General features: G+C 50.2%; 1 protein-coding gene across 5 annotated transcripts in view, besides 6 other annotated features; it reads right to left on the bottom strand.

Annotated features, from left to right (window-relative positions):
• The window catches only part of RAMP1 (receptor activity modifying protein 1), a 53,227-nt gene that overhangs the window by 1,037 nt on the left and 24,718 nt on the right, over positions 1-27,472 (bottom strand). The window lies entirely within an intron of this gene.
• Positions 11,908-12,017: an enhancer, noted in NCBI's record as "active region_17378". NCBI's record gives its function as "activates an Ori minimal core promoter by ATAC-STARR-seq in GM12878 lymphoblastoid cells {active_cell/tissue: GM12878}" and the evidence as "EXISTENCE:reporter gene assay evidence [ECO:0000049][PMID:35858748]".
• Positions 12,098-12,147: an enhancer, noted in NCBI's record as "active region_17377". NCBI's record gives its function as "activates an Ori minimal core promoter by ATAC-STARR-seq in GM12878 lymphoblastoid cells {active_cell/tissue: GM12878}" and the evidence as "EXISTENCE:reporter gene assay evidence [ECO:0000049][PMID:35858748]".
• Positions 12,098-16,344: a biological region, named in NCBI's record as "VISTA enhancer hs1968".
• Positions 12,115-16,344: an enhancer, noted in NCBI's record as "VISTA enhancer hs1968". NCBI's record gives its function as "enhancer in: dorsal root ganglion[3/5]" and the evidence as "EXISTENCE:transgenic organism evidence [ECO:0001131][PMID:17130149]".
• Positions 15,199-16,077: an enhancer, noted in NCBI's record as "H3K27ac-H3K4me1 hESC enhancer chr2:238803635-238804513 (GRCh37/hg19 assembly coordinates)". NCBI's record gives its function as "activates a minimal SCP1, AML or CMV promoter by ChIP-STARR-seq in naive H9 embryonic stem cells {active_cell/tissue: H9 hESC(naive)}" and the evidence as "EXISTENCE:reporter gene assay evidence [ECO:0000049][PMID:30033119]".
• Positions 21,726-21,926: a silencer, noted in NCBI's record as "peak4098 fragment used in MPRA reporter construct". NCBI's record gives its function as "represses an SCP1 promoter by STARR-seq MPRAs in K562 erythroleukemia cells {active_cell/tissue: K562}" and the evidence as "EXISTENCE:reporter gene assay evidence [ECO:0000049][PMID:32103011]".

Raw genomic sequence — 27,472 nt, 5'->3', positions numbered from 1 at the left:
GTGCGACTGTGTGTGACTGTTATTCAATGTGTGACAGTGTTATTCTCTGTGTGACCGTGTGTGTGACTATTTTCTGTGTGACTGTGTATGTGACTATTATTCACTGTGTGTGACTCTGTGTGTGTGACTGTTATTCTGTGTGTGACTCTGTGTGGATGACTGTGTTATTCTGTGTGTGTGACTGTGTGTGACTGTTATTCTCTGTGTGTGGCTGTAACTGTGTTATTCTGCATGTGACTGTGTGACTATTATTCTCTTTGTGACTGTGTGTGACATTGTGTGACTGTTATTTTGTGTGTGACTGTGTGTGTGACTATTTTCTGTGTGACTGTGTGTTACTGTTATTCTCTGTGTGTGACTATGTGACTGTGTAACTGTTATCTGTGAGTGGCTGTTATTCCCTGTGTGTGACTGTGTGTGTATAGCTGTGTTATTCTGTGTGACTGTTATTCTGTGTGTGACTGTGTGACTGTGTTATTCTGTGTGACTGTGTAACTGTTATTCTGTGTGTGTGACTGTTATTCTGTGTGTTACTGTGTGTGTGACTATGTATATGTAATTGTGTTATTCTGTGTGTGACTGTGTGTGGGTGTGACTGTTATTCTCTGTGTGTGACTGTTATTCTCTGAGTGTGTGACATTCTATGTGTGACTGTGCAACACTGTGTTACTCTGTGTGTGTGTGTGACTGTGTTATTCTCTGTGTGTGATTGTGTGTGTGTGTGACTGTGTTATTCTCTGTATGTGTGTCCCTGTGTGTGAGCGTAACTTGTTATTGTCTGTGGGTGTGTGACTGTGTTATTCTGTGTGTGTCCCTGTGTGTGGGTGTAACTGTTATTCTGTGTGTGTCCCTGTGTGTGGGTGTAACTGTGTTATTCTGTGTGTGTGAACCTGTGTGTGCACGTGTGACTGTGTTATTCTGTGTGTGTGACCGGGTACGTGTGACCCCATATGGACTTCACCACAGGGCCTCTGACCCTATCCTGCCACGGCTGCAGGTGCCTTTACCCACAGGTATGGCTGCCACCAGGCTAGAAGGAAGGGAGTGGAGGTGGCCGTGCCGAGCCAGGGGCCTGGGCGGCACGGGCAGAGGGTGTGCCATTGGGGTGTTCCTTGGGCTTGGCTTGGAGAGAAGCCATCGCGGAGTCCCCTCTGCTCCAGGAATTTTAACCCTCGAAGCCACAGCGGGTGAGCTCATTCCCACCCTGCCCCTTAGGTGCTCTCAGGACTCTGCTCCCCAGGGCTCTCTGGGGAGAGCAAACGCCATCTGTTTCTGAACAACTTTCTCCATAGATGTGGGTTTGTAGGCCACAGGATGCCCTTTGAAATGAAGTGGACAAAACCCAAGTGGACCCAGCCATCGGTGCTTTTCTGTGTCATCTTCCAACCCAGGACGTGGGTGTCAAGTGCCTCTTGCAGCAGAGGAAACTGAGGCTCTGAGACATCACTGGCCGTGGGTAGAGCCCAGACCACGCCGGCTCCTTCTGCCTCCAGCCCTGCATTCCCTCCAACCCCCTGTGACCTCCTGCTTCACAGAACAGCCCTGAGACTCAGGAAGAAAGGCCCCTCTGGCGTTTCATGGGGCTCAGAGCCTGTTCTTGGGGACTGATGGCCTGAAGGGGTCTTGGTGGCATTCACTGTTGTCACCATTCCATGATAACTGCTGCAATCATGAAGGTCCACTGGGTACCCCTGCATGACAGGCACAGGCTCGGCAAGGCCTGTGTGTGAGCTCGCTCATGCTCGGGGACCGCTGTTACCCATTGTTTTGTAGACAGGGAAATGGAGGTTTGGGAAGGCTGGAGGGCTGCCAGGTGAGAGGGCCAGGGTGTGACTGCACGGGTCTCACACCTCACCACTGTCCCTCGCCCTCGGTGGCCAGATCTGGCCACAGCTTGGACACTTCCTTGTCTGGGTCCAAGTTGCACTCACTGGGGGTTGAGGCCACAGTGGGCATCCGTAAGCCAGAGAGCCTTGAATGAGCCCTTGCCCCATGGGGGCAGCCTGAGTGCCTCTAGGGCAGGTGCTGAGTCCCCTTCACCCCCGTATCCATGATGCCAGTGTGATGCCAGGCTTGCTGTGGAAGTTGTGCCACCAGGGCTGCAGCCAGGGTAGGAACAGGCTCAAAGGCCTTTCCACCATCCCAGACTCTTCTCTCCTGGGAAGCAGATGCCTTAGGCTGCTGAGGGAGGAACAGCACAGCCTGTCACCCCCAGGGCACAGACAAAGACACACCATGGCTAGGGGAAGGATAGGAAGGAACTCTTTTTCCTTGGAAGGGCACCAGGAAACCATCCTGGCCTACGATCCTGCACCATAGAAAACAGAGGCCTTGGCTGGGTGTGGTGGCTTAACACCTGTAATCCCAGCACTTTGGGAGGCTGAGGCGGGTGGATCACAAGGTCAGGAGTTCAAGACCAGCCTGGCCAAGATGGTGAAACCCTATCTCTACTAAAAATACAAAAATTAGCCAGGCACAGTGGCGGGCACCTGTAATCCCAGCTACGAGGGAGTCTGAGGCAAGAGAATCGCTTGAACCCAGGAGGTGGAGGTTGCAGTGAGCCGAGATCATGCCGAGATCATGCCACTGCACTCTAGCCTGGGTGACAGAGCAAGACTCTGTCTCAAAAACACCACCACCACCACCACCACCACCACCAGAGGTCTCTTCTCACTGGGGAAGGGACAGGACAGTCACACCCAAGACCCCGACAGAGTTTGCCACAGGGAAGAGGGGTAGGAATGCTGGGGTGAAGGGCACAGGGAAGGGCCTGTCTAAACTGAGGCTGGACCAGTACACAGAGAACCCACCCCAAGCCTTGAACATAACCTTGGTAGAATAACAAGCAGCAGCTGTCTACTGCCGAGAGAAAGTGGGGTAAGATCCATGCTGCAGCACAGGCAGGCAAGAGAAAGCTGAAAGCAGAGGGTGGGGCACCACACTGAGGAATCTCCTCCAGTGCCCTAGTCCCAACCCTGGGCACAAGGCAATGACAGCTCATTGCTAGAGGTACTTGAGGCCTATGGTACATTGAAGATAACCATAACAATGACAAATCCCAAACCCAGCTCAATTCCTAACAAGATTGACTCAAATCCCACACTAACGGTCTGACAGAAGAGGATTACCCATTTCCATATGTAAATACTATTGACCGTAGTCACCTCTGTTCTATACATGAATGTTCAGTATTCAATAAAAATTATATATTTTTTGTTCAGAAGCAACAAAAAACAACCAACCCATTGTCAAGAGGCAAAACAATGAATGGAGTTAGACTCAGAGACGACCTAGATGTTGTAACTATCAGACAGTTATGTTAGAATGGCTAGTATGACAACGGGTCTAGTGGAAATGGCAGACAATATGCATGAACAGATGGAGAATTTAAGCAGAGAAGTGAAAACTCAAAGTCAAAGACAGTTGCTAGAAATAAAAAGATATGGCATCAGAGAGAATTCCTTCAATGGGCCCATCAGCAGACACGAAAACTGAGGAAAGAGAGAAATTGAAGATGTCAGTAGAAATTAACCAAACTGGAACACAAAGAGAAAAAAAAGTGAGGGAAAACCAGAGCATCCAAGAACTGTGTAACATGACAATCCTATAAATGACATCAACCTCAACTCATAATGTGAGAGTCCCAGAAAGAGGAGAGGGAATGGAGCAGAAGAAATATTTGAAGAGATAATGGCTCAGGCTTTTAAAAAAATAATGAAAGACATAAAATCGCAGATCCAAGAAGCTTGGAGAACCTCAAGCAGGACAGAAAACAAAGCAGCTACAACAGCAAACAACCAAATAGACACATCAAACTCCAACTGCTGAGCACCAAAGAAAAAGGAAAAAATCTTGAGGTCAGAGGAAAAAAGACATACAGAAGAACAGTGAGTTACAGCAGATTTCTTAATTTCTTATCAGAGGCTTGTCATGTGGGAAGACAATGGGCAACATCTTGAAAGTATTAGAGGTTGCGGGGAGGGGAAACACATTTGTCAGCCTGGAATTCTATACCTAGAAAAAAATACCTTTTGAAAATGAGGTTGAGGCTGGGCACATTGGCTCACACCTGTGATTCCAGCACTTTGGGAGGCCAAGGCAGGCGGATCACTTGAGGTCAGGAGTTCGAGACCAGCCTGGCTAACATGGTGAAACCTCATCTCTACTAAAAATACAAAAATTAGCTGGGCATGGTGGCAGATGCCTGTAATCCCAGCTACTCGGGAGGCTGAGGCAGGAGAATTACTTGAACCTGGGAGGCGGAGGTTGCAGTGAGTTGAGATCACGCCATTGCACTCCAGCCTGGGTGACAGAGCAAGACTGTCTTTAAAAAAAAAAAAAAAAAAAAAAAAGAGGTTGATATAAGAACCTTTTGAGAAAAAAGCAGCTGAGAGAATTCATTGCCAGCAGACCTGTGCTACAAGAAATGTCAAAGAAAGTTCTTCAGTGATAAGAAAGAGTTTGAGATCCACATAAATAGATGAAGGGCTCCAAAAACAGTGAAAATGAAGACAATAGAAGGGTACTTTTCCTTATATTTAATCTAGAAAGTGAGTAAATGGATCAGAGGCCATAAATTAAATGTGAGGAGACCCCTGGGGGCTTTAAGAGGCTATACAGAAAAAGTAGGGGCCTCTCCGGCATCCCAGCACCCCTCTACCCCCGCCCCTATCGTACGGTCACTGTTTTTCCTTCCTGGCTGCCCTCTAGGTCACTGCCCTGAGTGTGCAGGGCCTCCCTTAGCCCATCCAAGAGGCCTAGTAGATGAGGCATGAGGAGGGAGAGGCAGCAGAGAGTGTGCCGTGCCTGTAGGCATTGGGGTGTGTGGTCTCTCCAGGTGAACAAGGACTCATGTTTCAAGAAGAAAACAGAAGTGGAAAAAGCCACATGAAGTCGTGACGGTTTGAGTCTCATCGTGGGGGAAAAACGAATGAGTGCACGTTATGTGGCCGGTCCATGGTAAATGTTAGACGTGTTATTGTTGCTGAAAACCAAGTCCAGCCTTCTCAACTACAGGGCTAAACAGTGAGAATGCTGCCTTTTTTTTTTTTTTTTTTTTGAGACAGAGTCTTGCTCTGTTGCCCAGGCTGGAGTGCAGTGGTACAATCTCAGCTCACTGCAACCTCCGCTTCCCAGGTTCAAGCGATTCTCCTGCCTCAGCCTCCTAAGTAGCTGGGACTACAGACATGGTCCACCATGCCTGGCTAATTTTTGTATTTTTAGTAGAGATGGGGTTTCACTATGTTGGCCAGGCTGGTCTCGAACTCCTGACCTCAGGTGATCTACCCTCCTTGGCTTCCCAAAGTGCTGGGATTACAGGCGTGAGCCACTGCATCTGACCAATGAAGCCTGCTTTGAATGATGATCCTCTCCCATATCTCAGACCCACCAAACCCGCAGGCAGTTTAGTTTTTGGTGTTCTGCAGATCCAGTGACACATGATCCTGAACACTGACCCCTGTCCTCTGAGGAGCGGAGCTGTGGCATTTTTAGGAGGAGCTATTGCCATCTCTGCACTGGCCAAACAGAACAGGAAGGAGCGGATGCAGGAAGCCACGCCACCACAGAACCCACGCCGAGGCCACGCTGAGGCAGATAGGGCCGTGTGTGGGTGGGCTATTCTGGGATCAGGCACTCTCTCCTTGATATGTCAGCCTTCTGGATTGCAGTGCCACCCACGTCTAAAAATATCTCTAATGTGCAGTCGGCTGCCCACTTCATCCTGTTTATTTATACAGAAGTGACAGCTGAAACTTTCAATAAATGTTGTGAGCTCCGTCAGTGAGGATGTGATAAAAGAATTCCCCTCAGAGTACAGACATTCTTCTGCCCAAAAGAACACAGAACGGACTGAAGGACCCAAAATAGTCATGAAAAATACACCCTGGCTTTAACTCCCTAAAGTTTCAGTTCTCGTGTCACTGAGTAATTATCCTTTTTTGGCTAGGACCTTCTATTCTGGGGCTCGAAGCAAACTTTGCTTGGAATGTTCCTGAATCCTATGGTGGGAGTTTCCAGCATATCTGGGTCCCAAGTCAAGGCCCGACACCACTGTTCATGGTTACTTGCTGGTAAGAAAGTGTGATCACTGATGCTCACAGGTGAGTCATCTACTCTGGGGACACCCTGGGTTGCAGTTGTCCCCCAGCTACCCCCGGCTGGCCCTAATATGAAATATCTGAGCCTGGGCCCTGTCACCCATAGACCTGGGTTCAAATCCCAGCTCCACCTCTTACCCAGAGTGATCCTGGAGACCTCATTCGCTTGTTCAAGTCTTAGTCTCCTATTAAGATAAAGATACAGGTCCTCACTTGACTGGCTCATGACGTATACATTTCTTGTCCTTTTTGAGTTTATACTTAAGCAAAAGGTGACCAGGCAATGTGTGTCTAAATTGTCAGAAAATCTGAGGGGAAAGCACTTTTGGCTTTATATTCGCTTTTTAAAATTTATTTATTATTTTAGACAGCGTTTTGCTCTGTTGCTCGGGCTGGAGTGCAGTGGCACGATCTTGGCTCACTGCAACCTCTGCCTCCCGGGCTCAGGTGATCCTCTTGCCTCACCCTCCAGAATAGCTGGGATTACAGGCGTGCACCACCACACCTGGCTAACTTTCATTTATTTATTTATTTTGATTTTTATTCTATTTTTGAGACAGAGTCTTGCTCTGTTGCCCAGGATGGAGTCCAGTGGCATGATCTCAGCTCACTGCAAGCCCCACTTCCTGGGTTCATGCCATTCTCCTGCCTCAGCCTCCCGAGTAGCTGGGACTACAGGTGCCCGCCACCACGCCCTGGCTATTTTTTTTTTTTGTATTTTTAGTAGAGACGGGGTTTCACCGTGTTAGCCAGGATGGTCTTGATCTCCCGACCTCGTGATCCGCCCGCCTCAGACTCCCAAAGTGCTGGGATTACAGGCGTGAGCCACTGAGCCCGGCCCAATATTTCTTCTAGAAATACAAATGACTACTAAGCATGTGAAATGAAAGACCAAACATCCAGATGGCACTCCTCTTAAAAAGGAGAATGCTAGGCTGGGCGTGGTGGCTCACACGTGTAAACCCAACGCTGGGGGAGGCCTAGGCCGGAGGATTGCTTGAGCCTAGGAGTTTGAGAGCAGCCTGGGAAACATAGTGAGACCTTGTCTCTACAAAAAAATACAAAATGGCTAACACAGTGAAACCCCAACTCTACCAAAAATACAAAAAATTAGCCGGGCGTGGTGGCGGGTGCCTGTAGTCCCAGCTACTCGGGAGGCTAAGGCAGGAGAATGGCGTGGACCTGGGAGGTGGAGGTTGCAGCGAGCGGAGATCGCACCACTGCACTCCAGCCTGGGTGACAGAGCGAGACTCTGTCTTAAAGAAACAACAACAACAAACATTTGCCAGTGCTGGGATGCACCTGTAGTCCCAGCTAGTTGGGAGGCTTAGGTCAGAGGATCACATGAGCCCAGGGAGGTGGGAGATTGAGGCTGCAGTGAGCTATGTTCCTGCCACTGCACTCCAGCCTGGGCAACAGAATAAGACCCTGTCTCAAAAAAAAAGAAAATAATGCTGAATGCTAGTGAAGGTGTAGGATACTGAGGCAGGCACTCATAGCAATCCTCAGGGAAGATAAACTGGTACAATTTTTCTGAAACACAATTTGGCAATATGTATCAATAATCTCAAACTCACGGATGCCTCTTGACCCCGTAATTGCATTACTGGGAATTATCCTAAATTAATAATGTGAAATATAGATAACAGTGATGTAAGAAGGTGTCCACTGCAGATTTATAATTATGAAAAACAGCAAACAACAGGACAGCGGTCACAGAAATTGTTTATGAGTGGCTCCATTATGTAGCTGTTAAAATTATATTTAGGAAGAAAATTTTAAGATGTGGAAAAACATTTATGTTCTAAAGCTGGGCAGAAGAACAGCTCTCATGCCTGTGATCCTAGCACTTTGGGAGGCTGAGGCAGGAGGATCGCTTGAGGCCAGGAGTTCAAGACCAGCCTGGGCAACCTAGTGAGACCCAGTCTCTCTGCTAAATAAATAAATAAAGTTTTGAAAAGCAGCAGCAGGTTAGACCAGGTGCCATAAACAGCCTGGATTGGGGTAAAATGGTCCACATGGGAGGGGGACACAGCAGAATGTCACAGGAGTGATCCCCACCAGAATGGTAATAACACGAAGGACTTTTCTCTCAACTTTTTTGGGTTTTCTACCTTGAGCATACATACTTTTTATAATTATATTTAACAGCTCATTTTAGCAGGAAGGCTCACAGGAAACTAGATGTTGGCGTCACTGCATCTGCAGCCACCGTGCCTGGTGTCTGGGGCAGCCTGGGTCTTCCCACCAGAGGGCTCTGATGTGCAGGCAGGGCTGGGACCCTCTGGTGACAGCGGCTCATGGGGGAGGCGTGCAGGGCAGACAGGGAGCGGGGACGGGGCGTTGGGCCTCTCCAGTCTCAGTGGCCTCCTGCGTGGAACTGGGGGCCCCGCGGGACCCAACTCTGAGGCAGGAAGGGGCTCTGTGGAAGGGTGAGTGGGGGTGCGGGGTGGGCCCTGGGGGCAGGACCCCACTTTCCTCCTCGCTGTGTTCCCCCCACCCCCTCTGCGGAGACCTCTGCGTCCTCCTGGTCCTCCTGTTCCCTCCTCCATCTCCCTGTCCTTCTGGCCCCTCCTCTTCCTCCTGATCCCTCTCTCCTCCTGGCCTCTCCCTCCTCCTCCCAGCCCCTCCTCCACCCCCTGATCCCTCCCTCCTCCTCCCAGCCCCTCCTCCTCCTCCCGATCCCTCCTTACCCCTCCCTCTTCCACCTCGCCCTTGCTCCAGGCCCCCACCTCATCCTCACTCCAGCCTTGCTCCGGGTGGCAGTGGGGCATCCTCACTCACTGAAGACCCCGGGCCCTTACCAGCCCCCGGAGGAGAGGCATCCCCCGCGAAGTGCTCCTTCTCTCTCGGCCTTGGGCTGCACCTGAGAGTTCCCCATTCTCCCTCCTCCACCTGAAGCCTGGGCTGTTCACTTCTGGCTGTGAACACATGTGACTCAGGGCCCCCATGCCATGCCTATCCCCTGAGTTATCATGGCTCCCCTTTCCCTCAAGGGTGCCCTCCCCTCCTGAGGCCCCATCACTGTGCCCAGGATGGGGCAGAAGTGACTCGTCCTGGTGGATGGGTTATTACAACTTACATACCAGCTTCCACTTTTCTGTAGTGAGTATGTGGGGGCTTGGCATCTATCTACCCCTTCTTCTGCCTCCCCCAGTTTAGTCAGGGGCAGCCATCAAACCCCTCCACCGCCCTCCACTCTGCATGCTGGGCTTAGCTACCACGGGCTCTCCAGGCCACATCCCACACCCTGGCCGCTGCCCAAGCCCACCGTCCACACCTTCCCACCCCTGCTTCACGCCTTCAGTGCTCACCATTACACCTGTCCCAGATTCAGAAGCTTCTGTGTGGGTCACTCAACTGGGTCCCCTCCCTCCTGCTGGCCACATTCTAGCCACAGTGGCCAGTGTTCTGCCTCAGGACCTTTGCACATGCTGTTCCTTTTAACTGGAAAGCTCTTAGCCTCATCTTCACAAGGCCACCCTATGCTCGCCCTTCGCTTAAATGTCACGTCCTCAAAGAGGCCTTTTCTGGATGCTTCAATCATATTTGGCTTCCCCAGCAAAGTGGGGTTTTCCTTCATAGATGGGTGTTACTTTGTGGCTGTCCATGAACTCATGTGATTATTCACCCACTGTTGGTCTCAACAACCAGACTGCAGACACCACCGGGGCAGGGAGGGTAAGAGCAAAAATCCCCCTTACTCTGGTCACAGTGGCCACCTCCAAGGCAAAGTGAAACAAAGCCTGAAGGAAGACAGCGAGAGAGGGATGTACCCAGGAGACGCAGACAGAAGGTGAGCAGGGGTGTGGGCTTCCCAGCAGACCTGGCCCAGGCCGGTGAGAAGGGCCATCAGTGGGGCTGATGGGGATGCTCCACCCAGGACAGCTGGCACTGCGCCACAGCGTACAGACAGCCCGCAGCTGCCAGGAACGCAAGACACGTGGGAGACTTAAACACACCTCCCAAGGCTAGGTAGATAAACAGTAGCATAAAGTGATTATGAAAAATAATGTTAATAAACCGATGCAGTGACTGTCTGATAAAGGTTCTATTCTACAGAGACTCAGCCGGCTTTTCAAAGGCCCCTGGGTCTGTGTTAGGCGGCAAAAAGAGACTCATCAAATCCCCAGAGTATAAATCATAAGTCAATATTCTCAGGCTACAATACTGAAAACTAAAAATTAGTTTTAAAAAAAGGATAAATTTAAAAAAATGGAATTCCTAGAAATGAAAGATCATTTATATAATTTCGAAGTCACAGGAGAATTTAAAAATTCAATTACAAAATATTAAGAGAACAAGATCGGCAATACTATATGTACAAATGAATGGAATGGGGCAAAAGTGAATTCTGAGAAAAATTAATAGTTATAAATTATTTTATTAAACAAAAATAAATGAAAATAAACAAAATAAGTATCCAAAGCAAGATATTTTTTAAAAAGAACAAAATAAATCTCTCCAAATGGCACATAATTTGTCCATCAATAATTATTAGAAGCAATATAGGCCAGGTGCGGTGGCTCACGCCTGTAATACCACCACTTTGGGAGGCCGAGGTGGGCAGATCACTTGAGCTCAGGAGTTCAAGACCAGCCGGGGCAGCATGGCGAAACCCCATCTCTGCTGAAAATATCAAAATTAGCCAGGCATGGTGGCACACACCTGTAGTCCCAGTTAACTTGAGTGGCTGAGGCACGAGAATGCCGTGAACCCAGGAGGCAGAGGTTGCAGTGAGTCGAGATCGTGCCACTGCACTCCAGCCTGGGCGACAGAGCCAGACACTGTCCTAAACAAACAAACAAATAAACAAAAAACAAAAAACAGAAAAGAAAAAGAAGAAGTATAAGAGATTAATACGTAAAAAAGGTTTGTTAAAAATTGGAAAATCCTCAGTGAATTGGGATACTTTTTGGTTAAATTATAAACTATCAAATATCGACTTAAAAAGGAGGAATTCCAAGAAGAAAAATGGCAAATGTTATTAAAGAATTGCTGTTTCAAAAGGCACTAGATCCCAGGCAGTTCTTTCAAATTCTTTTTTTTTCTTTTTAATTGAGACAGGTTCTCACTATGTTGCTCAGGCTGGTCTCAAACTCCTGGGCTCAAGCGATCCTCCCACCTCGGCCTTCCAAAGTGCTGGGATTACAGGTGTGGGAGGCGTGAGCCACTGCAAATTCTTAAAGTGAAAGAAAAAGATGTGCAGCTTCCCAGTTCATTTAAAAAAGTTAACAAACCCTGATCCCAAGCCTCTTGAGATGGCATGACATGCGTCTCAACGCATGCGCACACGGACGGAACAGATGCCCTTCGCTTCCACCTATAAATAGACACTCAAGTCCCCTACCCAATGCTAACAAACTTCATCTAGCCACATAGCATATTTTATTTAAAGGAGGGCTAATTTCAGGAATGCTTTAAACCTGTTACTACAAAATCACACTTTAATACACCATGGGAAAAAAATGTACCGTCATTTTAATACGCATTGAGAAGGCATTTGAGAAAACTCAATATTCTTTTCTGATTTTAAAAAAGCCACAACCTTGAAAACACAGAAAGAAGCTATTTTCTTCATGTGATAAAAATCTCTCTCTCGGCCAGGTGCAGTGGCTCACGCCTGTAATCTCAGCACTTTGGGAGGCCGAGGCGGGCGGGTCACCTGAGGTCAGGAGTTCGCGACCAGCCTGGGCAACACGGTGAAACCCCATCTCTACTAAAATACAAAAAATTAGCTGGGTGTGGCAGCGTGTGCCTGTAGTCCCAGCTACTCAGGAGGCTGAGGCAGGAGAATTGCTTGAACCCGGGAGGCGGAGGTTGCAGCGAGCGGAGATCATGCCACTGCACTCCAGCATGGGTGACAGAGTGTGACCCAGTCTCAAAGAAAAAAAAAAAATCACTGTCTCAAACCAATAGCATGCACCCCATTTAGGACTGGAACACAGTGGCATTTTCGTGGCAGCCAGCAACAGGCTTATTTCGCATTTAGGCAGCCAGGGCTGGCTTCTCCCTTGTGGTTTCTGCCTTTGGTGTCAGGGCTCACACCCAGGATTCTGTGAATAGCGGGACCTTTCCAAAGCAGGGAGGGGCTGGCCACTTACTGCGCCACTTCCTCTGTTGACAGAGAGCCACGCTGTGGCCTGGCCTGGCGTGCGTCAGGTGTGGAGCAAGCACAGGGCCAGCTTGTCTTTAAGAGGCCTCAGCCCGGGCCCTGGGGATGTGAAAGCCCACGCAGTGTAGCTTCCCACCTACGTCTGCGTGTGTGAGCTCGGGAGCCTGGCTTCCTGTCTCACTTCTGCCCAGCACTGCTGGAGGCAGCAGAGAACTGGGCACCTTTTGTTTTTCTTGACACTGGGGAAATGTATAAGGAAGTCTTGTTAACTGTTTGATGAAAAGCACTTCAGCACACTGTGCTGGCCTGGGAAATGTGTGCTGGGCCAGCAGGCTCTGAGCCAGCTGTGCACACCTGGAACTCCTACGGGTGAGTGGCTGCTCCCATCCCCCTGGGACTGGCAGCACGCGTGAGGGAAAGACGGATATTGTACTATCAAACCCTTCCTAAATCAGGCTGGTCAGAGAGTACAATCAAACTAGGGAAAAGGCCAAGCATTAGAAGTCCTATGTACCTGTGCCAGCCCAGGGATGCCTACACATTTGACCTACTGCATTGCTGAGACAGGAATGCTTTGAAATAAGTGTCATCACTGCATGCAAATGAATATGTTAAACAGGAATTTTCCCCAGGCTCTGACTATGGTTTATCTATTTAAGTTGTATTAACAGGGACTTCTGACATCTTAGCAAAGCCATTTTCCCAACAGCATAAGGGGAAATGCCAACTCCATCCCTTTCCAAAGAATTACAGCATCTGGCCAGGCACAGTGGTTCCCGCCTGCAATCCCAGCACTGTGGGAGGCTGAGGAGGGTGGATCACCTGAGGTCAGGAGTTTGAGACCAGCCTGGCCAACATGGTGAAACCCAGTCTCTACTAAAAATACAAAAATTAGCTGGGCGTGGTGGTGCACGCCTGTGGTCCCATCTACTCAGGAGGCTGAGGCAGGAGAATGGCTTGAACTCGGGAGGTGGAGGTTGCAGTGAGCTGAGGTTGCACCACTGCACTCCAGCCTGGGAGAAAGAGCGAGACCCCATCTCAAAAAACAAACAAACAAACAAAAAACAAAACCCCCCCCCAAAAAACCAAAACAAACAAAAAAAGAAGAATGACAGCATCCACGAGAGCATGTGTTTCTGAGGTTTCCACTAAGACACGTGGATCTGTAAACAAGAAGCCTCACCATAGGCTTCTTGCAAATACTTCGCCAAATCATGGAAGCCAATTCCATTCCACACCTTTGTTACCAGCTAAATATTGCACTTTACCACTGACTAGGTGCTTGCTGAACAAGGAGGACAAAGGCCTCTCTCTTGCAGGAAAAGGAACAACATGAATAACGCACCAAAGAAAGAATCTTGGGAGGGTTCAAGGAAACAGGAGGAAGACAGATGAAACGGGGCTCAGTGTTCTCGCTGCTGTGGAGGAGGCCACAATTCCTCCTGCAACACTCGCAGTGACTGTAGAGCATGCTGATGAAGCCGGAGAAAATGGCCAGCCCTCTCTGCACGTTGAGCAGGGAAGGCAGACACGGGACCACCTGTGGCCTTATTCTCACCTCCCCTCGCTCATGGCCTGTCTGGGCCTCAGGCTCTGTCCTGTCCCATGTCATCTGCTCTTTCAGTCTCCCTCTTTCCTGGCCTGAAGTGAAGCTGGTTCTCCCATTCCTGGGATGGAGGCTGAGGCCCAGGCGGGGCCCGTGGTTGCATGCGGGGCTCTGGGGTCCACCTGGACGGATGCACACCTCATGATAGCTGAGTGCCACACGGGAGCATCCGGTGAGCTGCAGGCATGTAAAAGAGGGACCCACTGAGGCTGGGGCAGGTGACCCCACCATCCCCACGGACAGCACATCACACCCCCAGGACATTTAAAGGCCTGGCCCCTCTGCTGTCCAAAAGTCTAAGAGGCTGGGTGCAGTGGCTCACGCCTGCAACCCCAGCACTTTGAGAGGCCAAAACAGGAGGATCGCTTGAGCCCAGGAGTTCCAGACCAGTCTGGGCAACACAGAGAGACTCCCCCATCTCTACACAAAGTTTAAAAGTTAGCCAGGAGTGGTGGTGTGTGCCTATAGTCCTGGCTACTTGGGAGGCTGAGTCAAGAGGGTTGCTTGAGTCCAGGAAGTCAAGTCTGCAGTGAGCTAAGATCATGCAACTGCATTCCAATCTAGGCGGCAGAGTGAGACCCTGCCTTAAAACAAAACAAAACAAAGTCTAAGAAAATACTAAGACCTGTTTCCCCGCGTGAGTGTGCTTCTCACATCACCCGAGGGCAGGTGTTCTTACCCCCTCCTTACAGAAAAGGGCGCTTGCTGAGGTGATGGGGAGGTCCCTGAGGCGGCAGTGCAGACTGGGGAACGGTCCAGGGGTCTGCCTGGGGGCTGCTTGGCCCTCCCTGGGCCTGGCTTCCTCTGCCTCCCTCCCCTTCTCCTGCTATGGTGGCCCCAGGCCGGGGAGGAATCTGGGCGCCTCTGCCCATGCTGGGAGAAGCGAGAGGTTTCTAAATCCATCCCTGGCTCCATGTGCAGCCAGGTCTGGCACCAGACACAGCCTGGGAGCTGCCAAGTCAGGCTCCCCACAGAGCAGCCACAGCAGGCGGGCGGACGGGCATAATACCTCCTCTGAGAACAGGCCTGGGCAGCGCCCTGGCTCCTGGGGCTGCCAAATGAAGTGCAGTTTTAAAATGCAGTGGGTGTCCCAGGCAAAGTCACAGACTGTCCTATGCTGGCTGCATCTGGGCCTGAGCAGGGGTTGCATTGCGTCCCAGGGTCCGAGGATCAGGGAATGCTGGGAGATCGCTGAGCTGTGCCCATTGTGGGCCGGGTGCTGAGGGCTCACTACAACCCCTGGGAGGTGTCCTGGCACCCCTGTGGGGACACCCAGGTCTAGCTGCCCAGCTGTGTGTGATGGGGCTGAGACCACACTCAGGCCTGTCCAGGCCCCAGGGTTCCCACCTCACGGGGACATGGGTGTGACATGTGTCCGAGTCTCAGGATTAAGCATGACAGCCGGCAAGCTATATTTGGATGCTAACACCCTGGGGGCATTGTCCTTGTGAAGCAACGCTGGCCTGGAGGCTGGACGGGCTCTGCCTTCCTATCCACCCCTGGTCTCAGCCCCAGCCAGCCGGCCCAAAGCATACTCACCCTCTCTGTACAAGAAACTCTCCCCCGATGCCACTAGACTCTTCAGGGACCCCTGCCGGGCTTCACGAGCCTTCAGCGACCCATCCTGCCCACCCACGGGGCGCCCTGCACCATGCTGGTCCCTGTTCGGGCATCCCACCAACTGGCCGCCTCCATCGGGGTAGCAGCCTTGCCACCCCTGCCCTCCTGCCACAATCTCACCTCGTTTGGAGCTCAGGGCAACACTGAGTGTGGGGAAAGGCCAGGCCAGGAAACATCCCAACGTGGGGTGTTCACTGTGGGGGTTTTGAGGAGTTGGCAGTTACGGAGCCTCGGTGTTTTCACCTTTAAAATGGGTTCAGTGATCCCTGGCTCACAGCAGCAGCGTGGTGAGAACTCCCTCAGAGGGCCACCACCATGCCATTCTCTGATGGGAGCCCATGACCCCCCCACAGGACCCCTTTGCACAGCAGGGGGTGGGCATGTGACTCGCGCTGCCCTGCCTTTGGATGGGAGCCCCACACAGGCAGGCAACACGTGGCCTCCTGTCTCGCTCCTGACTCGCTCTACAATCGCCACCATAGGGCTGACCTCAAGGGAGGGTGAGGGGCTCCAGAGGCCATGGTGCTGGGGGGCCGTGGCTCCAGGAGGGAGGGGGAGGTCCTGCCCTGCTGGGCCCTTGGTGGCTGGCACCATTGGCTAGGTGCCTGCTAAGTGCTCAGCAAATGGCTGCTGAGCTGAATCAGGTATCTGGATTCTGAAGGGTACCCTGCTACCAAGGTGCCTTCACCTAACTTGTCGAAGGAGAACCACAACCAGATAGGAGTAGGAACAGGCCACTCCTGTTCCCCAGGGCTGGCAACGCTTTGTCTCACCTCCTATGAACACGTGTCCCTTTGTTCCGTCTTTGAACGTGTTTGTGCACCACGGGGAGCCACATTCACCCGAGCAAGGGAGAAGGTTCCAGCCGTCCAGGGGCCTCTCCACAGTTCAAAAGCCACCTGGACAGCCTGGGCCTTGGAACTGCCACAGTGCACCAGGAGGATGAAGGTGCCAATAAATAAGTGTGGTGGGGACCCATAGAGCCTCAGCCCCGCCTGGCTTCTGGGATGGAGGGGTGGCAGGGGGGTCTCACCCCCTAGCCAGGTCCATCTGGGGCGGGGGATTCAGGCGCTGGTGCTGCCTGTCAGCAACATTCCCTGGTGGTCCTGGCTGCCCCAGGTCTGAGGACGTATGGCCTGCGGCTGCCCAAAGGGCCCTTCCACAGCCAGCCTCGCCCTGGCCTAGCTCCCACCCCAGCACTGCCCCCGGCTCCTCCTGCCTCCTTCCCACAATGGCAGAAATCTGGCCTCCCTGTAAAGAGGTGAGTTAATGTGTCCATTAGGCTTGGGGATAAAGGAAACTTTAATTCACTGCAGTATAATTAGTTTCAATTACAATATCCTAATTAAAAACTACTTTAGGCCGGGTGAAGTGGCTCACGCCTGTAATCCCAAGACTTTGGAGGGCCAAGGTGGGCTGATCACTTGAGGTCAGGAGTTCAAGACCAGCCTGGGCAACATGGCGAAATCCTGTCTCTACTAAAAATACACAAAATTAGCTGGGCATCATGGCATGCACCTGTAGTCCCAGCTTCTAGGGAGGCTGAGGCACAAGAATCACGTGAACTTGGGAGGCGGAGGTTGCAGTGAGCTGAGATCACGCCACTGCACTCCAGCCTGGGTGACAGAGTGAGACTGTCTCAAAAAAAAAAAAAAAAAAAGAAAGTATTTTTATTTTTACTTATTTTTTTGAGACAAAGTTTTGTGCTTGTTGCCCAGGCTGGAGTGCAGTGGCACAATCTTGGCTCACTGCAACCTCCACCTCCTGGGTTCGAGAGCAATTCTCTTTCCTCAGCCTCCGAGTAGCTGGGACTGCAGGTGCGTGCCACCACGCCCAACTGATTTTTGTATTTTTAGTAGAGACAGGGTTTCGCCATGTTGCTCACACTGGTCTCGAACTCCTGACCTCAAGTGATCCACCTGCCTTGGCCTCCCAAAGTGCTGGGATTACAGGTGTGAGCCACCATACCCGGCCGAAACTACTTTAGAAAGAGTAAAAAGCAGAATTTGTATTACAGGAAGTAAAAACAGATTATCTGGAAAAATGTATCTGGAAAAAGGATGTAACATGTACAGGTGGAAACAGTGCAAGATATGACAAAGAAGTGAAAGAAGGCAAAAATAATTCCACTGGAGCACAGAGGGGACAGAGGAGGGTGCCGGAGGAACCATGTCCGGAAACCTCAGCTATCGGGGAATGTCAGTGTCCGGTCCTGGAGAAAGGAGTCCGAGGAGGAAACTGCACTGCACACCAAAGCTTCTGCAGGCTTAACGAGGCCATCAGCAAAACAAGTTCTCACAAAATGTTTAAACCAAAAAGAATACTGCAAGCAACCACGCCAGGAAGGAGGAGGTCAGATTTTAAAAATATACATAAATCACAATCCCTTCTGCCTTCTCTGATGACATCCCAAACACCCAGAGACAATGGAACAACAGCTACAGGAACTTCACAGAACAAGGTTGCTCCTTGGAGATTTATTATCTTGCCAAGCTGTCACTCACGTTGCAAAGACGGCAGAGAGCTCCTTAGAAATTGTTGAATTCTGAGAATGTATTAATCACATGGCTTATTTCTAGGACCTACTTGAAATAATCTCCTGAATTTAAAAGGTAACATGTAAAAGGGAATGATGCTAGAAATAAGACACGCTTGAATTAACAACCTATTTGCAAAGATAAGTAAACAAGAGCCCTATCAGAGCAAGGGTTATTACTGATAAAAGTATGCAAATAGTGCAACTGTCAGAAAAACAGCGTAAAAATTAAAAACCAAATTACATAGAAGACAGAAAGGAAAAAGTAGGTTTTAGAACATTAATTGCAATCATTGAGGAGAAGGAAGAAGTGGGGGAGGGAGAGAAGGATGGAGAAGAGAGAGAGAGAGAGAGAGAGAAGAGGAAGCCCAAAACCCAGATTCCTGTCATCTCACACAGGGGAGGCCAAAGTGTGTGGTTGGACAATGTAAGATAATAAGTACAAGATAAGAACATCTGTTTGCTTCACATTTCATGGCTGGTTGAATGAAAAACAGCTTGCCAATATTTCAGTAATAATAGAAGAGAAAACACAGGCTGGGCACGGTGGCTCACACCTGCAATCCCAACACTTTGAGAGGCCAACATGGGAGGATTGCTTGAGCCCAGGAGTTCAAGACCAGCCTGGGCAACACAGTGAGACCCCATCTCTACAAAAAATAGAAACAATTAGGCAGATGATGTGGTGCATGCCTGTAGTTCCAGCTACTTGGGAGGCTGAGGTGGGAGGATCTCTTGGGCCCAGGAGGTTGAGGCTGCAGTGAGCCATGATCACACCACTGCACTCCAGCTTGTCTCAAAAAAAAAAAAAAAAAAAAGAAAGAAAGAAAGAAAAAACACATGGTGTTTCAACAATTGAGGGAAAAGAAAAGTAATCAGCATGGAAAGATAAACAATTAAGACAAAAATTGGAGTGCCTGAAGATTGAAAAAATACAACTTAATTTCCTGTGTTAAAAGGCTTGCCACTCTCCAGAAGAAAAAATGAAATCCAGCAATAAGCTGTGGGCAAGAGAGGTCATTAAAACAAAATAGGAAGACTAAAAAGAGTTACCAGTAAACTTCAAGTAGTTGAAAGGCTGGGATTCCAATGTTAATATATAGCAAAAAATAATTTAGAGCAAAAATGATTACATGTGATAAGGAGAGGTATCAGGATGAGAGGCATGGGTGGTGGCAGCATAATTACATGGAATCTAAATGCCATAAAGACAGAGCAAAACATATATGCAAATATCTCTGAGAAAAAAGAAGTAGAAATGATAAAAATATGATTATAAAATTAAAATACTTCATTATCAACTACATAAGAAATTCAGCAACACATAAAGGAGCTGAAGATCAAAACAAGGTAACATTAATGGTTGTTTTGGTGGGGATTAAATAGAACAAACAGATAATTTCTTCTTTTTCAAGTATTCATTGTATGTTCACAAAAAGTCATCATATACTAGTCTCAAATCAAATCTCCATAAAAATACAAAAGCAGAAATGATTCAGGCTACATTTCCTCCCTACGGCAAAAAAAGAGATTAAGAACAAACAGAAATAGAAATAGTATATTTTAAAATATACTTACCTAAGGAAAAAATTGTCTTGAGAAGAAAGTCAAGAAGACAATATCTGTCTGTTAAGAAAATACAATGGGCTGGGCGCGGTGGCTCACGCCTGTAATCCCAGCACTTTGGGAGGCCGAGGCAGGCGGATCACGAGGTCAGGAGATCGAGACCATCCTGGCTAACACGGTGAAACCCTGTCTCTACTAAAAATACAAAAAATCAGCCGGGCGTGGTGGCGGGCGCCTGTAGTCCCAGCTACTCAGGAGTCTGAGGCAGAAGAATGGCGTGAACCCGGGAGGCGGAGCTTGCAGTGAGCCGAGACCATGCCACTGCACCCTCACTCTGGGTGACAGAGTGAGACTCCGTCTCAAAAAAAAAAAAAGAGAATACAATGAAAAAAACTGACATATCAAAACCTATAGAAAGTGATGAATGAGGAAAGTCCTTAGAGAAACACATCACAGCCTTAAATGTCTTTATTATTTTCAAGAAAAGTGAGAAAAATGATGAACTAAGGATTGAAATCATATCTTAGGAAAGAAACAATTTTAAGAAAGGGAAAAGGGGGGAAGTGAGTGGTAAAAGTTAAAGCAAAAAAACTGAGAAAAGACACGGTGATGCAAAGTGTGGCCTATTTTCTAAAGACTACAAAACTGGGCATGTGCGGTTCATTAAACAGTGGCCTCTCAGTTCCTTTTGATGAATGAAATAGCATCTAAACAAAGAAAAAAAGGGGAAAGAAGAAACACAGCAAAAACAAAAGTGGAGGCATAAGCTTGAGTCTAAGGGATATTAAACACGTAAAGGAATACTATGCAGCATGTTTCAGTTAACTGAGAAATCTGAAGGACATAGACCAAATAAACACAGATGAAGATAACCGTTAAAACAAGAGCTAGAAAGTCAAAATAAATCAATAGTGGAGGAAGTAACTGGAGAAGGAAATCCCCCAAATTACTGAGGTTTGATGGTGTTAGTGATGAATTCATTCAAACTTCTAAGAAATAAGTAATTCTCACATCACAAATTATTTCTGGCTCGGTGCAGTGGCTCATGCCTGTAATCCCAGCACTTTGGGAGGCCGAGGCGGGTGGATCACTTGAGCCCAGGAGTTTGAGACCAGCCTGGGAAACACAGTGAAACCCCATTTCTACCAAAAATACAAAAATTAGCCAGGCGTGGTGGTGAGTGCCTGTAGTCCCAGCTACTCAGGAGGCTGAGGCAGGAGGATCACTTGAACCCAGGAGGTGGAGGTTGCAGTGAGCCAAGATCACACCACTGGACTCCAGCCTGGGTGACACAGTGAGACTCTGTCTCAAAAAAAAAAAAAAATTATTTCCCACCCTTGATTCTAATGGTGGGCTAGCATGTCTATCCCATTAGGCAAACGTGGTCCTAACCCTAAAACCTGATTAAGGAAACACAAAGAGGAAAATCCGGAGCTTCCTTATTCATCACTTTCTATACCCATTTTACTGGGGAGGCCGCAGAGGCTCACAGCGCTGAAGGAGGGACGCAGCCGGCGGGGTTTCTGCAGGCGGGCCCCACTTGGCACTGCATGCTTGGTCCCCAAGGTCCATGGTAGTTTTCCTACTATTCGCTAAAAAGCAGTATCAGGTAACAACCCATCAAACTGTAATCCCAGCACTTTGGGAGGCTCAGGCAGGAGGATTGCGTTAGCCCAGAATTCAAGACCTGCCTGGGTAACATAGGGAGACCTCATCTCTACAAAAAAATAAAAATTAGCTGGGTGTGGTGGCACATGCCTGTAGTTCCAGCTATTTGGGAGGCTGAGGTGGGAGGATTGCTTGAGCCCAGGAGGTCGGGGCTGCAATGACTTTTTATGGAATTTAGCAACATGATTCTTAAGTTCTTTTGGAAAAATAGGCAGAAAATATATCAAAGCATGCAAAACATAATGTAAAATATAATGAAAATGAAACATGGTAGGAGAGGCCTTCTAAATTGTAGGAAATATTGTAAAGTTGTGGTAATTTAAATGGCGTGGTACGACCCCAGAATATAAGTAAAAATTATTTCAAATAGACTCTAATGCACATAGGAAGCTATTATGTGTTAAATTAAGCAACACAAAACAATGGAGGTTGGCGACATTATTTAACAAATTCTGTTAGGATAATTGAGGTGGGAAGGAAATACATTTCTGTCCATCCACTGTGTTAAGAAGATACATATCATTTCAAAACACAGAACAACTACAAAGACACAGAACATAATCTTGTGGGCATATGACTCTCACAATTGAGACGACAGAGTCTGTGGACAGTTACAGCTGTGCGGAGGTCACACGGTCACTGACTGATGAGGGGTGAATGGGAGCATCCATGTGTTCACAGATTAGCTAATGAACGACAGTGTGGAAAATGAACATCAAAAGACACACAAACGAAACAAGAAAATATTTAGAGCACAATGGCAAATAGTTAATATATATATTCTTCAAGAATCTATGGCCGGGCAAAGTGGCTCATGCCTGTAATCTTGGGAGGCCGAGGCGGATGGATCACTTGAGGTCAGGAGTTCGAGACCAGCCTGGCCAACATGGTGAAACCCCGTCTCTATTAAAAATACAAAAAATTAGCTGGGCGTGGTGGCGGGTGCCTGTAGTTCCAGCTACTCAGGAGGCTGAGGTAGGAGAATCACTTGAACCCGGGAGGCAGGGGTTGCAGTGAGCCAAGATTGTGCCGCTGCACTCCAGCCTGGGCAAGAGAGGGAGACTCCGTCTCAAAACAAACAAACAAAAAAAAGAATTTGTAAAAGAAGATTAAAAATACCTCCAATGGGCATATGGGAAATCTCTGTACCTTCCTCTCAATTTTGCTGTGAACCTAAAACTGCTCTAAAAAATAAAGTCTTAAAAAAAGGAAAAAAGGGCAATGACTCACAGGACAAATAGGAAAGGTCATGGTGACGTAACTTGCACTTGAGAAAAAACAAATTCCAAATAACTGTCAGAGACCAGTTCAACTTTCCTAATTGCCAAAGACATGCAAACTAAAACTACAGAGGAAATCTCCTTTGACCTGCAAAAATAAAATCCCTACAAACTCAATACTCACGAGCCTATGAGGAACTAGGCATTTTCATATGTTGCTGATAGAATTATAAATTAGTAAAATTCTTTAGAGGAACAACTGGCAAAAATCTATCAAGAACCACAGAATGGGCCGGGCGTGGTGGCTCACGCCTGTAATTCCAGCACTTTGAGAGGCGGAGGTGGATCACCTGAGATCAGGAGTTTGAGACCAGCCTGGCCAACATAGTGAAACCCTGTCTCTACTAAAAATACAAAAAATTAGCTAGGCATGGTGGCAGGCACCTGTAATCCCAGCTACTCGGGAGGCTGAGGCAGGAGAATCGCTTGAACCCAGAAGCCAGAAGTTGCAGTGAGCCGAGATTGTGCCACTGCACTCCAGCCTGGGCGACACAGCAGGATTCTGTCTCAAAAAAAAACCCCCCAGAACCACAGAATGTTCATGGTACATGCTACAGTAAGCCTACTTGCATGAATTATTTCTCCCAGGAATGTCTAACAACAAAATCTTTTTTAAAAAAACAAAGGATATATGTACACAAGTTCTTATAGTGTTGTCATTTATTTCAGACAAGGTCTCACTTTGTCACCTGGGCTGGAATGGAGTGGCACAACCTCAACCTCCTGGGCCGAGGCGATCCTCCCACTTCAGCCTCCCTAGGACTACAGGTGCGCCCATTACACTCAGCTAATGTTTACATTTTTTGTAGATACCTGGTTTCGCCATGTTGCCCAGGCTGGTCTCGAACTCCTGGGCTCAAGTGATCCACATGCCTTGGTCTCCCAAAGTGCTGGGATTGCAGGTGTGAGCCACTGTGCCCAGCTCCATCATTTATAATAGCAAAAACCAGGAAATGGCTTTAACTCGAGCAGGAGTAGGGAACCACAGCGTGCCAGTGTGGCCTGCCCTAGAGTGAGGCGGCCTCCACTGCCTGGGCAGTGAGGGTAAACTCAGTCTCTTTTTCAGAAAGTGCATTCTCCATTTTTTGATTGAGACAAGAAGCTGAAACAAGAGTGGACTCAGACCCAAGGCCTGTCCCAAGACGCATCCCAAAGGGCACCCTGTGCTTAGGTCCCGCAAGATACTCGGTGTCCTCGAACTATGCACAGGGAAGGCTGTGAGGTGCCACTGCTCCCTGGAGGCCCTCCCACAGGGGACTGAGAATGCTGCTGGCCCTGCCTGTGCCTGGGAGATGTCTACCATCTGAGTGATGAATGGATAGATCCTGGGAGATGCCATGGCCCAGCCTGGGGGCTGGAGTGAAGGTCAGCATTAGGAGGGGACATCTGCTCTGTCCTCTACCCACTGCCCTCCCCACACAGGACCCACAGCCAGAGGTGTCACACACAAGGGCACATCTTCATCCTCTCTCCCCCACCCCACCCCCACCCCTTCCCCATGGGCAGCCCAGGAGGCCGCCTTCGGGGCTCAGTGAAGCCCTGTGTGCACAAACTGGCCTGTGTCCCAGGACAGCCAAGTCCCGTCTGCACAGCCTGGATGGTTCTAGGGCTTTCTGGGGGTGTGGCTGCTGTAGTCGAGTGTCCACAGGGGAGGCGGGGGTGGATGCTGAGCTACGACGAGCCCCCGCCACCAGACGTGTTCCACCTGCCCACCCTTTCACTCACTGCCGGGATCTGGTTAGCGTCACCGCATGTCTGACCTTTCGCGTTGACGCACAGGCCTGATTTCATCCCCATACTCAGGAGGATGTGAAACCAGGCAGTTAATCACCTGATGGGAAAGACGCCATGGTGGGCTCAGTGCCACGCTCCGCGCTAAGTCACCACAGGGTCTGGGGAAGGTCTCTCCATCTGTGCCTTCCCCCAGGGCCAGAAGACTTCCGAAAAAGATGTGCTGAGGATGACAAGGTGGTCCCTGGGTGTGGAGGGGTGAGGCCAGCAGTCGCCCGCTCCAGCCCCAGCCTCCAAGCTCCCCCAACACGAGGGCTCCTCTCTGTGGGTCCTCACAGATGCATTTCTCCTGGAGCTTTCTGAGAAGGGAAATGGGGCTCCTCCTCCCCATTCCAGAGCCCCCCAGCCCAGCAGGCAGGTGTCATCAGATCCTCTGGGGATCCTCATCAGAACCCACCATGGCGCGCACGTTAAGTGAGGCAACCCCTGACCTGAACACATTCCAGGGGCGGCTGCCAAGGACTCTGAGCCCTGGTTTATTTCTCCAGTGCTGAAAACCAGCAGAAGGCGCTCCCTGCACAACCACGGTCACGCGCGCCAAGGAGACTACAGGAAGGTGGAACGACACCCCCGTGGGGCGGCCTGGGCAGGGCCGGCATATCCCCAGCCACTGCCCCACTCTGCCCAGCCCTGGACAGCTGTGTCTACAGCTCGTCCCCATGGGGACCCGGCACCCCGGCTGATGCCTGCGCAGGCCACAGGAGTGGCGTCCTCAGGGGAGCCAGACTGGTGTCACTGCGCGAGCTGCATGTCTTTCCTGGCACAGCCACCTCCTTCTCTCCTCCTCTGCCCCCTTCTCCTCTGTAAGCCATAGCCTGGAGTCTTCGAGGACCCGGCTCCCAGGGGCTCTTCCTGCTCCTCTGCCTCCCGCGGGGCTGGCCATTAGTGCTGAAGGCCCCAGGAGGTCAGGGGTCAGCAGCCGGGTTTCCGTGCCCCTGGGGTGTGCTCTGGAGATGCCTGGAAAGATTCTCCCACCCAGGGGGGGCAGAGGGTGGGGGAACAGACATCTAGCCAGGGCTTTCCTCACAAGAACTGGCTTCACGCCTGGTGCAGACACACAGAGAGGGGCACGGCAGGAGCGATGGTGTGGCGGTGGGCAGGGAGGTCAGTAGGCAGGGAGGGCGGCCTCGGCCTGGGCAATGCTCGCCTTTGGATCCTCTGAGACCTGGCTGTGCTGGGCACTGCCATCTGTCCTGTCCACGCCTGAGGGCCTTTCCGTGGAGCCCACGCTATTCCACCAGCACACACAGGGATGACAGCACCACAGCCACCAGGGAGAGCACAGAGGGGTCCCAGTGCTCGTGGGCATGTGGCAAGTTCCAGGGCGGACACCGCCATGAACAAACCCACGAGGGCACCGAGGCAGCCCCAGATGCTGTACTGGGAGCTCCTGATGCTCACGACAGGCCTCAGGGAGGTGGGTGGGCTCCAGGGCCAGGCCTCCGGGCAGGGGCAGGCGGCGGGCAGGGCTCTGTGAACAGCCCATCCCGAGACCTCGTGGGGGTCGAGCTCAGCAGAAATCCAGGAGGACACCCTGCCCTTGGCCCAGACAGCCCTCGTGATTTCAGAAGAAGCCTCCCTCTCAGTTCCTGCTGAAATTCAAAATACAAGCAGCTGTTCCCATGTTGCTGCTGAGTTCTGAAGAATTTCCTGACTTGACTCTTTTAGCAGGAGACACAAAGAAGGCAGCAGGAGGGAAATGCAGCAGGCTGGGAAGGACCCCAAAGTGTTGGTGCACCCTGCCCAACGTCGTGTGGACCCAGAGCGTCATGCCTGGCGCTGGCCATGCTGAGCCGCCGTACCACAGCAGGCACTGCAGACATTTGTCTTGCGTCCCCCAACTACCACGCTGGGCTGCAGCCCCACTCCCTGGGGCCTGGAGCCCCGTCCTCTGAGCAGCTCCTTGGGCTGGGGGAGGGCCCATGATTGCCCAGCATGGGGTCGGCAGGGCAGGGCAGGGTCCGCAGTGACAGCCTCGGGTAACCAAAGCTGAGGTGACCTGAGGCTACCATGGTCAGTATTTACAAACCTGGAAGCTTTAGGGCAGAGGGACGGAGGCATCCCAGCTGGTATGGAAGTGAAGTCTGGTTCTCTGGGGCCCAGTGACCTCAGATGCTGGGAAGGCTGTGGCCCCATCCTCTGGCATCTTCCCCGAGGACACCTTTCCCCTGCCCAAGATGGCACTCAGACCCTGAAGCCATACAGGGTGGGGTGGAATAGGCGTGTCCCCTTCCCTCTTAAATCAACCGAGCATTTCTTATTTAGGTGAGGAAATCTGACGTGAGGCTTTTAAAAACCCATGTTTTATAGCCGAGTCCAGCACGTTCCAGATTCTTCTCTTCTCTGTTCTGCCTTCTCTCTCCCTCCCCTACACCCATAGGAAGGTCTCTGGAAATGAGAGTTCCCGATGACACATTTGCCAGGTTTTCTATACCTCCTCAAATTAGATTGTAGCTCCAGTTAATACATTAAATCACATTATGCCTCCATCAGCAAACCAAGGCTGCAGCTTAATGAGATGATAACCCCTGGTAAATGACGGCCCAGCCAGCTTGCAGGGGAGCCTGGCCCCGCTGAGCTCATTCAGCCACTTTTCAGGGACCTGTTCCATGTAGCTGAGTGGAAGACACCCAACACGTGTTAGAAAGGGCTCAGGAATCACCCCCAAGCCTTGCTCACAACAGACAACCTGACAAAATCCACCAACCAGGTAACAAAGCAACAGGATGAGCGGAGGAGTGGGGTCACGGTCAGGGCAAGGGCTGTCGGAACCCAGCAAGCACCTGCGTGCAGATCCATGCCGGGCAGCCAAGGTCCCAGGGCAAGCGCAGTGGCTACAAACCCTGAATGCGCAAAAAAAAAAAAAAAAAAAAAAAAGTGGACCTACAGGCCAGGGCAGGGACCCAGGAATGACCCCTGTGCAGAGGAGGAGCCTCTTTTTTTTTTTTCTTTTCTTTTCTTTTTTTTTTTTTTGAGGTAGGGTCTGGTTCTATCACCCAGGCTGGAGTGCAAGTGGTACCATCATGGCTCACTGCAGCCTTGACCTCTCAGGCTTGAGTGATCCTCCCGCCTCAGCCTCCCAAGCACCTGGGTCTACAGGTGTCCAACACCATGTACAGCTAATTTTTAAAATTTTTGTAGAGATGGAGTCTCACTTTGTTGTCCAGGCTGTTCTCACACTCCTGGGCTTAA

The sequence above is a fragment of the Homo sapiens genome, chromosome 2 (genome assembly GCF_000001405.40).
Source record: "Homo sapiens chromosome 2, GRCh38.p14 Primary Assembly".
Lineage (NCBI taxonomy): Eukaryota > Metazoa > Chordata > Mammalia > Primates > Hominidae > Homo > Homo sapiens.
The sequence above is the reverse complement of the archived record's forward strand: the minus strand, read 5'-3'. Positions and strand labels throughout refer to the sequence as shown.